At 38.5% G+C, this 13802-nt stretch overlaps 1 long non-coding RNA gene across 2 annotated transcripts in view; it reads right to left on the reverse strand.

Annotated features, from left to right (window-relative positions):
* LOC124906112 (uncharacterized) overlaps positions 1-13802 on the reverse strand; it is a 204201-nt gene that overhangs the window by 160541 nt on the left and 29858 nt on the right. The window lies entirely within an intron of this gene.

Raw genomic sequence — 13802 nt, forward strand, 5'->3', positions numbered from 1 at the left:
ACAGGCCCAGGCAGCGTGGGGGCTGTAAGCAGGCTGGAACCCAGGAATTGAGAAGAGGACTGGAGAGTGATAAGGCTGAAAAGGTTTGGGATAGTTACTATTTAATACAATGAGCCAGAAATCACAAAATGCAAATTAAACCACTGTAACATATTATTCTACAGTCAATACCTCGGCAACAATTTTTAAGTCTGACCATACCAAGTATTGTCAAGAAAGTGGTTTTATAGAATCTTCTGTATGTCATGTGTGGTGAGAATATAAACTGGTACAACCACTTTGTAAAACAGTTTTGACATAATCTCCTATGACCCAGCAATTCTGGTCCATTCATCACAACATTGTTTTTAATATTCAGAGCCAGAAAACAACTCAAATGTCCTTTAATAGTAGGATAGCTATGTGCATTGTGGTATAGTCATACAATGACTACTATATAGTAATAAAATAAATCAGCGGTAACCACATACGACAATAGGATTACAGACCACAAGCTTAATGTTGAGGAGGAAAAAGACACAAAATACATACAGTAATAGTCCATTTACATAAAATTGAAAAACAGGGGAAATTAAACTTTACTCTTTAGGGATGCATAATAAAAGTGGGAAATACATTTTTAAAAATAATATTATGATAAAGGATAGGATAAGTTTACTTCTAGGGAAGAAAAGGGGCCTGTGCTTTGGAAGGGGCAGATTGGGAGTCCTGGCGTGTAGCAGTAGTATATCCACTTAGCTGGTTTAAGGGAGAGTTTTCTTTTTCTCACTGCACATTATATTGCACAATAAAAATCTTAAATAAGGAAGAAAACATTAGAACCAGATATGACAAAGAAAGAGGCAGTTGCAACTCATGGAGACAGAGAGAATAATGGTTACTAGACACTGGGAAGAATAATCAGGGGAAAGGAGGGAGATGGTTAATAGGTATAAAAATACAGTTAAAGAGAAGGAATAAGATCTAGTGCTGAGTAGCACAATAGGGCAAGTATAGTTAACAATAATTTATTATGTATTTCAAAATAACTAAAAGAGTGGAAGTGGAATATTCCAAACACAAAGGAATGATAAATGCTTGAGGTGACAGATGCCCCAGTTATGTTGATTTGATCATTACACACTCAATACTTGTATCAGAATATCACGTCTCCCATAAGTATTTAAAAAGAAAAAGTTTCTTAAAAAACAAACTAATCAATACAAAGAATGATTTGTTGTCATTGCTATTTTTTTAAAAAAAGAAAGAGGCAGAGAAGAAAGGAAAGAAAGAGGGGAGAGAAGATTAATATGTATACTTGGTAGCCCTAATTAATTTGGGGCTATGGCAAGAATGCCATGGCCAAAAGACATTTGGGAGAAATGGTTGTGTCCATGTAAAGAATGGCTCATTCTCTCATCCTCCAGTTCTAAGTATTAAGTGAGGTCTTTCTCCTTGAAGACTAGCTAAGGAAGGAGAAAGAATGGCAGACAGAGACAGCCTCCTGCCCTATCACTTTTGCCTTCAGGGCTCCCTTCCCTTCTCCTGGGAACCCCATTGCTGTTTCTGTGTCCCCTCACCCTGCTGTGGGAGTGCAAGGCTCTGAAGACTGTGGCAAGGAGGAAATTCTCAACCTTTGCACTCAGATTTCCAGCACCTGAGGTAGCCCAACCATGGGGCCCAATACCATTTACTCACATTTTCCACTTCTTCTGCTGTATTGTCTGTATTGCTGAAAGCCATTTCATGTGTTTTCTCATTTGATGCCTCAAAGAGCCTCCTGACATGGGTAGAGCAGGTATTGTTAATATTCATGGAAAATTGGAGCCGCGAATGAGTCATTCAGGGTCACTCAGCTTGGATGAGAATGCAGGCCCCCATATCTGAATCTACTTCAATAAGCCATCCTACAAGCCCCACATATCACCAAAGTGTAGCATCCACAACCCACACCCCAAGTTTAAGTGGCTCTGTACATTTGAGAGGGCCATTGAAAGCCCAGAGATGCTATGGAGGAAGTTGTGTTAACCACGTCAAAGTACTAGGTGACAAGAAGATGGCATTCGTATCAAATTCCGATCTCCTTAACTTTTCAGTAGAGTCTAAATATCTCTGCAGAGCTTGCTTTCTCTGCTATGAACTATACATACTTTCTTCATTTCACAAAGCATGGAAGAAACAAAGGATTCTACGACTCGCCAAAGGTTTTAGCCCTTCATTGTTTTATCTCAGAGAAAAGGGGAGAAAGTGAGAGCTTCTCCTGTGTTTCAAAGATCTAATTTTTGGTGTGAAAGAGTAAGTGGCTCAGAGCTGACCTCTTTGAAGCATGTGGTGAAGAATGAAAAAGAAATGGACAAGTGAAAAATCAATACTTCTTCACTATTATCTATCAGTCCAGGGAAACCAATCCCAAATGTACATTTCTTTTGCTGCTTCAGTTACTATAAATATTACACACTAATATCAACATTTAGGATGTTTTGGTTGTATATTATAGCGTTGTCTAGGAAAAATTTTAATGTTTAAAAACTTCTTTGTGGTGTGATTTTTTTTTTTTAATGTACTGTGCTAAAAATTGTTACTGGTAAAATAGATGTGCTGGTGTGTGACTATTGGTATTTCAAAATGATTCTTTGTTTTACAAAAGTATTCATTGATCCCAATCTTTCTCATAGGTCTCATACTAACATTGTGAAATTTGATTCAGTGCCCCCCTGAAAAAGATATAATTACAGCCTCTTAAGATTCATCTATTATATAAAGTGAGGACCATTTATATATTCATCTGAGTTACAAATTCAACAAAGCCCTTTTTAAAAATATTCCAGAAATTATTCCATCACTTCTCTCTATTTAAAATCTAAAATCAGCCTAGGCTGTCACTGAAGAAAAAGAAATGAGAATATGGCAAACCCAATGGTAAAGTAAATGTCCCAAGCCACCTCAAGATGCAAAAATCAAACTAGAATTTTTAATTACAATTAAAATAATCATAATAACAGATTTAAAGGATCTACAATAATAAATTTAAAGGATAATTTTTCAAATTCTAGTAAATATACCCATTAAAGTTTATGATCTACTTAAAATATCAGGCAGATTTGAAGCATTATACAGCTCTCACAGTCAATTTGAACAAAGATAGCAGCCTTACTGAATTTTTCAATTTGAGCAACTCTTCCACCTAGTTTTCCACATGAGCAGAAAACCTGCTATTTTGCTGAATCTGGCCTCTTCAAAACAATCCTCCAAAAAACAGGAATAAAGCCACCCAATGTCTGCTCCAAAACACCCTGTTTAGGAAACATGAGCATTTTTCCAACAGGTTTCATCACGGAGTGACCCTAGGCAACTTCCTTCACTTCTCTAAGTTTCCATATCCCTGCCCATAAAATGGAGATAATAATCAGGACTTGCCTCCTAAGGTTGTTCTAAGAATTAAAATAATACACAGATAGGATTTAGAATATTGTCTAGAAAAAAAAATGAACAGCAGCTGTTGTTCTTTGAGCTAGGAATTAGGGAATATAGGTTCTACCACTAACTGCCACAACTAGCTACATGGTGTTGGAAAGATTGACTCTCAACTCCCACAGGCCTTTATCTCCTCATTGAAATATGGAGATCTTTTGGGGTCACTAACTCTGCTGTTTTCATTTACAACTCTGACACTAAATGTGTCAGTGTTTTTCCACACCAAACAACCAGTTCTCCAACCCTCCAGAAGCCAACTAGATGTCCTACAATCCAGTTCAGTTCAGACACTATCCAGAATTAGTGCAGACCCCACAAGGTAAGGACTCAGGCCCATAAGTCTGTCCCCACTTCAGACACCAATGGCAAGTCCCCAGCCTCCTGTACTTCTGACTGACTCTCTATGTTATTACCCAATGGGTTCATCTTGCTAGCTGCATAGATAAAACCAATTCACTGAGACAGCAGTATTGCAGCAAATAAAGGATTTAATAATCAGAGGGCTAGCCAAGAGAAAGGATGGGAGTAATTATTCAAGTCATCCTCTCCAAATATTCAGAGACTGTGGTTTTTCAAAGATAGTTTGGTGGGCAGGGGGCTAGGGAGTGAGGAATGCTGATTGGTTGGGTCAGAAATGAAATCATAGAGAGTTGAAGCTGTCTTCTTGCACTGAGTCAGTTCCTAGATAGAGTCATAGGACCAGTTGAATCAGTTTCTTAGTATGGGTCATGGGTCCTGGGGTCAGCTGGTTACCAGAATGCAAACGTCTGAAAAATATTTCAAAGACCAATCTTAGGTTTTGACAATAGTAATGTTATCTTAGCAGAATTCAGGCCCGTCGCACAATCCCAATCTTTTGAGCTTTCATTAGTCCTAAAAAGGTGGTCTTTGTCCCCAAGCAAGGATTGGTTAGTTGTAGGAAGGGACTGTTATCAACGTTTTTTTAAGGTTAACAAAGGCAGTTAGCTTATGAGTTTAGAATCAAGATAGAGACAGTTAGGTTAAATTTCTCTCACTGTTGTAATTTTTGAAAAGACAATTTCTGCTATAAATCTCATGACTCCCTTCTCAAATTTGATAATTTGCTAGAATGGCCCACATAACTCAGGAAGACACTTCACTTACTATTACCAATTTATTATGAAGGATAAAACTCAAGAACAGCCAGGTGGAAGAGCTGCATAGGCCATGGTATAGGGGAGGGGCGTGGAGCATTTAGGCCCTCTCCAGGCCCACCACTCTCCTAGCACCTCTATGTGTTCACTGACCCAGAAGCTCCCCATACCCCATCATTTGGGGGCTTTATGGAGGTTCCAATACATTGGCAAGGTTGATTAAATCATTGGCTATTGATGACTGAACTCAATCTCCAGCCCCTCTCCCCTCCCAGGAGGTTGGGGTGTGGGGCTGAATGTTCCAACCCTCTAATCACATGGCTTATTCCTCTGGCAACCATACCCCATCCTGAAGCTATCTCAGGGCCTACCAAGAGTCACCTAATTAGCATAAACTCAGGTGTGGTTGAAATAGGCTCATTATGAATAACAAAAGATGCTCCACTTACCCCTATTACTCAGGAAATTATAAAGATTTTAAGAGCTCTGTGACAGGAACTGGTGACAAAGACAAAATATATATCTTTTATTATATCACAATATCACACTAACTCAAGGCCCTCAGAGATAAGGCAAGGAATACACATGAAGTATGCCAGGTTTAAGAGAACAGAAAGGCTTGGAAGCTTTCATAAACTTGAGAGTTCTTCCCAACCTAAAAGCATTCAGATTCTAAAGGTGTTAAGCACACCGAGGCTGCCAGACCACATAAATACAGGTCTCATTCTGTAAATGACTTGACAATTTGCAACATCTTGTGACTATGCTAATATTCTTTTCAGCTGTGGCATTTTCTTACTCTTGTTTTCCATGCTCTTCCTTTTCCTAAAATCTATCCCAGGTAAATGAACAGTGGGTCAACCAAAGGAGTGAATGATTTTTGACATTGTCTTGTAACCACAATAGATTCATGGCCTGACACACACAGCAGGTCAATATGCCAAGACTTCGGGTTGCAGAAGAGAAAGAGGTTTAATTGTAGGGTCACTGAATTAAAAGATGGGAGAAAACCTCAAATCAATCTCCCTGAGGAATTTGAAGTTAGGGTTTTTAAGAGTTTTGGAGTGGGCCACAGTGTGGAGATCATTGATTAATCAAAGAGTGCAGGGTGAAGTCATGGGACAGAGAGAGGAAGAAGCTGTATTCTCATGCTAATTCTGTTCCTCTGCGGGGGGGCTTCAAACTGGTTGCTGGAATTCAGGGTCTGAAAAACATCTTAAGCAATACTTAAATAAAAGCTGTATGGTTCTAACGTCAGAGATTCTGTCTGTCTGTCTCTCTTTCTCTCTCTCTATATATATATACATTTTTTTTTTTTTTTGGACACAGGGGTCTCGCTCCGTCACCCAGGCTAGAGTGCAGTGGTGTAATCATAGCTCATTGCAGTCTCAACCTCTCCAGCTCCAGCAATCCTCCTGCCTCAGCCTCTCAAGTAGCTAGGACTACAGATGCATGCCACCATGCCTAGCTATTTTTTAAAAAAATTTTTATAGGGATGGGGTCTTACTGTGTTACCCAGGCTGGTCTCAAACTTCTGGGCTCAAGCAGGCTGGTCTCAAACTTCTGGGCTCAAGCTGTCTTCCCACCTCAGCCTCCCAAAGTGTTGGGATTATAGGCATAAGCTGCCATGTCTGGCTGCAAATCAATTCTTAAATAGTCTTAGCTTTTCATGTCAGAAATCCTATCTATAGGAACAGTGGAGATGAAAATGGTCAGTATCTACTGATATATGACTTCTAACAATAAGGAAGTAGGCCAAAGTGCAGCCTGGTTAGTGCTTAGTTATGTCTACATTTCTGTCCAGAACCTTGCATGCAATTCTTGACAACCTTGTGGAGGCAGTTTTAGTCTCTAACATCTAAGCTGCCCCGTTCCCTTACTTTCCACCTCCACAAACACGTATGTAACCCCTTCACACACATGCACACCATTTCCTGAGACTACCACTTTGAGTGCATATTTTACATGAACCATGCACACATTCTTTGCAGCTCTCTGTGAAGCTGGCTCTCTTTGTGTTTTAAGACAGAGATGACATGCTTTATATGTTCTGTTCAGTGCTCAGCTCTTTGCAGACATTTAAGCCATGATGATGAAAAAGCGTACCAGTACAAGTTCCCATTTAAATGGCTTCTAGACTTTTCTTGGTTCTCTGAGCAAACAGTACAATCCTATTGCCTCATAAGTCTATAGCAAATAAGATGTGTTCCAAAGTGCTGAATTCCTTTTCCTCCTTTTGCTTTCTATTCAAAGCCTAATTGATGCAGAACAATTCCTTAAAGCTGTCTCTTTTTTTCCTCCTAGATCATCCACAAACTACAAGTAACATGTAGTTACAACATGGGGCTCAGAATGTACCAAGAACATCCTATGTCTACAGAAAGGAGTAAAACACAAAGACTAAACAGAGTTACCTATTTCTTGTTAGCCTGAGAAAAATTCTTTTCAGATGTCTTTCATTACCTCAGAAATGGAGGCAAATGCTTTAAGAAGGGTCATATAATACTTTGAAAGGCTATTGCCATGGTGTGGTTATTAAGCTCTTGGGAAATGATGGGCTTCTCTTCAAGTATAAGGAACAATTGTGCCCCCTAAGAGTCATCTTGAATTGGAATGAAATAAACTGGTTACTCCAGAGAGCAAAAAAAATGATTGATTAAGGATTAGAAACTGTGGTGTTTGGGTCTCTAACCTCTGGCTCTTTCTGACATATTCTGTAGGCCAATAGAATACAGGTTGAGTCTTTCAAAAACTCCCTGACTTCTAGCTATAATGTCACATATGGTAAAATGAGCTCAGCACAGAGTTATGTTTTTCTTTTCTTACTCCTCACAGTAAGACTAAATTCCAAGAGTGGGATTGAAAAAGGGAGGTAGACAGCTGAGAAATACCAGCAGGCCTTGGAAGTGAAAACTACAATACAACCTCAAGCGTGAACAATCACAAAAACATGCCTGTCAGTAATAAAGAACCTGAAAGCAAGGGATGTCTCCTCCCCAAGCTGTTTGCATCCATTTTTCCAGTCCTGAGAAGTTAGGGAAATCTAGGTATTTGTTTAAATTCATGGAAGTGTACTTGGCTTATAGATCCAGGAGGAAAATACTAATGTGGTGCCCCTAATCCAACGTAGGAAAATATCTGAGACTTGAATCAGCTCTGTTTTTTTCTAACTTACTCATTAATGATATTTTCTTTCCTGGAAGACATTTCTATAAGTCAAGCCAAACCTGTCCTAGGGAAGGGCCTTGAAATAATTCTTTTTTCCTTTTTCCCTGTGGTGCTGAAAGTTCATGGTCAGCTGCACAGGCTGTTTAGTTAGTGGGTTCTCAATAGGCTCTGGCCAAAACATCAAGGTTTTTCTGTCTCTCACTGCAGGCTGGGACACTAGAAACCTGGCTGGAAATCATAAAATGGAAGAATAAACAACATACAATGTACAAGAGCCAGTGCTGTGGTGATATTTATTGTTGCTTTATAGATTTGGATTTGGAATGCTAGCTTTATATAGTCTAGTTAATTCCTTTGGTGTTACTTATAATTTGGGTAGAGAGGGTAGTAGACTAGAGGAAGTAGCAGATTAAATATTTTTGATCTGTGAAGAGGAGAAGCAGTATGTCCAAACAGCGGGCTTCCCAGCCACCTTAAGCTACTAAAGCCCCATCTTTATGTGCATAGCTCAAGAGTACCAGACTCAGGGGAAGCCCTATTTCACCACTCAACTGTGAGCTTAGGAAGTAAAGTCAGTATTGGTTATAGAAAGACTGATCATTTTTGAAGTCTACAGAAGGAAGGCATTCGAATCTATACATTTATTATTCTGTGAATCTGAATACACATTTGTTGACGTCCAGCTATTGTAGATAGAATATTTTCATAAAGAATTCTGTTTTGCCTTTTAAAAATCAATAGTAACTGAATCATATCTTCAAGATAAATTCTCTGGAATGAGATAGTTGAACTAAAAGGTATAAATGCCTTTATGCTTCGTTTGGTTCCTATTGCCAAGCTGCATCCCATGAAGACAACAGTGATAAGCCGTGCTGGCTGCTGGGTGTGAGTGTACCAATTTCTCTTGGGCTTTGTCAGCAGTGGATTTTTGTTTCACTTTAAAATGAGCACAAAAAGGAATTTCAAAGTCACTCTACTTCCACTGCAACTTAAAGTAGTTTCAAAGTAGTTTTATCTCATTAATTTATACCAATAGGAAATTGGACTCCTTCATAACAGCATATCTTCTTTTCAAGATCTAATTTTCTGTACTTGTGTAGTCAGTACCAAATTAGGCTACGGATTTAAAAATGAAGCTTAGTATTGAGGCAATTATCCTTCCACTCTCTGCTGTATTTTGGAACAACAACAACAAAAAACCACTGTTGCTAGAAGCAGTAATAATACTACTCCCACCAAGAGTACTGGCTATGAGTTCTAGATATTTCACTAATCAGCTGGACATACTTGGACAAGTATTTAATCTCTGCCCTCAATTTTATCTTCTGTAAAGTAGAGGTACTATTTGCTCTGTTACATTCACAAGATTGTCTTAAATATTGAGTAGAATAATAATGGTAAGAGTGTTTTGAGAAATAATATTTATTAAAAACATGACAACAAGTAATAAGTGAATAATAATAAATAACAATAACTCAGATGTCTGTCAATATTAAAGTCGCTATGTAGAAGAGTAAGAAGGCTCAGAGGGAAAGTTTAAAAATTGTAGTAGAAAAAAATTACAAGCAGAGCAACAATTTCATTATTTCCTTATCCTCTTTAGATTTTTCTAAAAAGACATGTAGCTTTCAAATACATTTACACATGGTGTCAATTCCCCTGAGGAAAAGCAAATAAATATGAATCAAATTTAATGTTTATCAATAAAATCATCAAAATTCACATTTATACATCATGTACTGGCAAGTAAAATCCACAAATCCTCCCAAAACAGAAGTGTGTTGGAAAAGCAGCAGCTACTGAGATGACTCACAGTAAACTACAGGTATTTGATTTTCTGATACTATCATAAATTGCATTTTTTTTAATTGTTGCTAAAAACTATCATATACTGAGAAGATAAACTAAAGAAGTCTTAAATAAACAGAGACATATTCCAAATGTAAGGTTTGGAAAACTCAAGACTGTTAAGATGCCAGTTCTTCTCAAACTGATCTATAGAATCAATGCAATCACAATCAAAATCCTGTCATGTTTATGTGTGCGCCTGTACATGTGTGTGTAAATTGACAAGTTGATTCTGAAAGGTATATGGAAATGCAAAGAGAAGGGAGGAGACAAGAAAATTTGAAGAAGAAAATGTTGAAAAACAACACTCCCAGATTTCAAGACTTATTCTAAAGCTACAGTAATTAACACATGGTGGTACTGGTGCAAAGATAGACAAACAGACCAATGGAACAAAATAGAGAGAAATGAACCCTCACGAGTACAATCACTTCATTAATGACAAAGGCAACACTGCATTTCAGTGAAGAAAAAGTGGTCATTTGAACAAATGGTGCTGGAGAAACTGGATATCCATATGGAAAAAAGTGAACTTTGACCTTTATCTCACACTGTGCGCTAAAACTAGTTCAGGATGGACCATAAGCCTAAATGTGAAAACTAAAATAATCACACTTTTAGAAGAAAACAGGAGGAATAGCTTTGTGAACTTGGGACAGGCAAAGATTTCTCAAACAGAACATAAAAAGCACTAATGCTTTTTTTTTAAATGATAAATTGGGTTTCAGTCCTATTCATAATCATTAACAAATAGTCAAGGCACAGACTGAGAGGTGATATTTGTAATATCTATATTAATATATATATAATAATTATACATGTTATTTTATATATATTCATACAATTGCATACATATCTACATACCGATTTCATACATATCTACATGCCATTATGCATACAATTATATATAATTATGCATACAATTACATATAATTAATATGCATACAATTATATATAATTAATTGCATACAATTATATATGTAGATGCATACAATTATATATAATTAATATAAATTTATATATAAAACAAAGATCTAACATCAAGAATACATAGGCCTAGCACAGTGACTCATGCCTGTAATCCCAGAACTTTGGGAGACCAAGGTGGGTGGATCACATGAGGTCAGGAGTTTGATATCAGCATGACGAACATGGTGAAACCCTGTCTCTACTAAAAATATAAAAATTAGCCGGGCATGGTGGTGCATGCCTGTAGTCCCAGCTACTCAGGAGGCTGAGGCAGTAGAATCACTTGAACCCAGGAGGCAGAGGTTGCAGTGAGCCAAGATCACACCATTGCACTCCAGCCTGGGTGACAGAGTAAGATTCTGTCTCAAAAAATGATGATAATAATAATAATCATCATACTAATAATATATAAAGGCTTCTACAAATCCATAGTAAAAAAAAAACAACCCAATTTAAAATAGGAAAAAGACTTGAATAGGCATTTCTTGCCACTCCTCACAAAAGAATGTCCAAATAACCAATGAGCATAAGAAAAGATCAATATAATTTGTATCAGAGAATTACAAATCAAAACTATGATGGAATACCATAACACATACTCCAGGATTAGTAAAATTTAAAAAGACTGACAATAACAATTGTTGAAAAGGATGTGGAACAATTGGAACTCTCCTATATTACTTGTGGGAATGTAAATTAGTAGAACCAGTTTGGTAAATATTTGGCAATATCTACTAAAGCTAAACATATGTCTACCCTATTGATTCAGCAATTCCACTGCTAGATGCAAACCCAAGGAAAAGTGTGTGAATATGTCTGCCAAGAGACATGTATTATTCATAATAGCTAAAAAACCCTAAACATCAAAGTGTTCTTCAATAGTAGAATGGGTAACTGAAACATGATATAATCATATAATAAAATTACCAATACATGCAACAACAGAAAGGAATCTCACAGACATTATGTTGAGAAAAAAAAACAGGCATAGTACATACTGGATGGGTTCATTTAAATGAATTTCAAGAACTGACAAAGCTAATCTGTGTTTATAGAAGTAGGAATTGGAATAGTGGTTTACTTCTGGGGAGCTATTCATGGGAAGGCGCACGAGGGAACTTTCTAGGGTGAAGGAAATATTCTACATTTTGATCTGAGAGGCTATTACAAGGTTACACACATACATAAAAATTCATTGACCATATACTTGACATTTGTGTTTCATAACTGCATGTAAATTATATTTAATTTTAAAAACAAAGAAGGAAATGGAATAAATTGCTGTTCACCTTAAAGATATTAAAAGTTGATCTCCTTTTTGAAATAGAATTCTAGACCCCTGGTGTTGGACGCTACTTTAAAGATAAGCCATTTCATTTTATGGCTGAACCCAAGGCCCGGAGTTTACAGGGTCTTGTTCAAAGCTAATAACAAATTAGGCTCAAAGTTAAGATCAGACACCAGGACTTCTGATGACCCTGCCCTTTCTTCTCCCTCACTCCACTTCCCTAAAGTACCCCTGAGAATGACGCTGACACCAAAGTGGGCTCTTCAGTCAATTACTACATTCTAGTAAGAGGCCTATGGAACTTTGCTCATGTCTCCCCTCTGCTGGAATTCTCTCCTAGTTTGTTTCACCTACCACATTCCTATCACCAACTTATTTTTCAAGACTCTGCTTACATCTCCCCATTTTTAGTGGGCTTTCTTTATCCTTTCTTCAGTGTAATTGATTCATCTCTATATCTGTATTAGTCCATTCTCATGCTACTATAAAGAAATACCTAAGACTGGGTAATTTATAAAGAAAAGAGGTTTAATTGGCTCACAGTTTCACAGGCTGTAAAGGAAGCATGGCTGGGGAGGTCTCAGGAAAGTTACAATCATAGTGGAAGGCAAAGGGGAAGCAGGTACTGAATTATGATATAATAATCTTCATATGGTCAGAGCAGGAGGTGGGTGGGGAAGGTGCTACACACTTTTAAACAAGCAGATCTCATGATAACTCACTCAGTACCATAAGAACACCACAAAAGGGGAAATCCACCCCCAAGATCCAATCAACTCCCACCAGTCCCCACCTCAATATGGGGATTACAATTTGACATGAGATTTGGGCAGGGACACAGACCCAAACCATATCATTCTGCTCCTTGGCTCTCTCAAATCTCACGTCCTTCTCACATTTCAAAATACAATCATGCTTTCCCAACAGTAACCCAAAGTCTTAACTAATTCCAACATTAACTCAAAAGTCCAAAGTCACATCTGAGACAAGGCAAGTCCCTTCTGCCTATGAGCCTGTAAAATAAAAAACAAGTTACGTTACTTCCAAGATATAATGGGGGTATAGACACTGGGTAGATACCCTCTTGTATTACTCGGCTGTCTGCCAAGAGAAAATTGGCCAAAATAAAGGGGTGACAGGCCCTGTGTGAGTTCAAAACCCAGCAGCGCAGTCATTAAATCTTAAAGCTCTAAAATAATTTCCTTTGATTCCATGTCTCACATCCAGGGCACACTGATGCAATGGGTGGGTTCCCAAGGCCTTGGGCAGCTCTGCCTCTGTGGCACTGCAGGGCTCAGCCCCAACAGCTGGTCTCAAGGGCTGACGCTGAGTGCCTATAGCTCTTCAAGGTGCATTGTGCAAGCTATCAGTGGATCTACCACTCTGGGGTCTGGAGGATAGTCACTCTCTTATCACATCTTCACTAGGCAGTACCGCAGTGGGGGCTCTGTGTAGGAGTTCCAACCTCACATTTTCCCTCCACACTACCTTAGTAGAGGTTCTCCATAAGGGCTCTGCCTCTGCAACAGATTTCTGCCTGGACATCCAGGCTTTTCCTGGAAACATCTTCTGAAGTCTAGGTGGGGGTTCCCAAGCCTCAACTCTTGCACTGTGTGCACTTGCAGGCTTAACAACATGTGGAAGCCTCCAAGGCTTATGGTTCGCACCCTCTGAAGCTGCAGCCAAAGCTGTACCTTGGCCCCTTTTAGCCACGGCTGGAGCAAGAGTGGCCAGGATGTAGGGCACCATGTTCTGAGGCTGCACAGAGCAGTGAGGGCCCTAGGCCTGGCACATGAAACCATTCTTCCCTCTTAAGCCTCTAGGCCTGTGATTTGGGGTGGAGGCTGCTGCAAAGGTCTCTGAAATATCTTCAAGATGTTTCTCCCATTTTCTTGGCTATCAACATTTGCCTTCCTTTTAGTTATGTAAATTTCTGCACCCTGCTTGAATTCCTCCCCTGA

Source organism: Homo sapiens, chromosome 2, assembly GCF_000001405.40.
Source record: "Homo sapiens chromosome 2, GRCh38.p14 Primary Assembly".
In the NCBI taxonomy this organism is placed as follows: domain Eukaryota; kingdom Metazoa; phylum Chordata; class Mammalia; order Primates; family Hominidae; genus Homo; species Homo sapiens.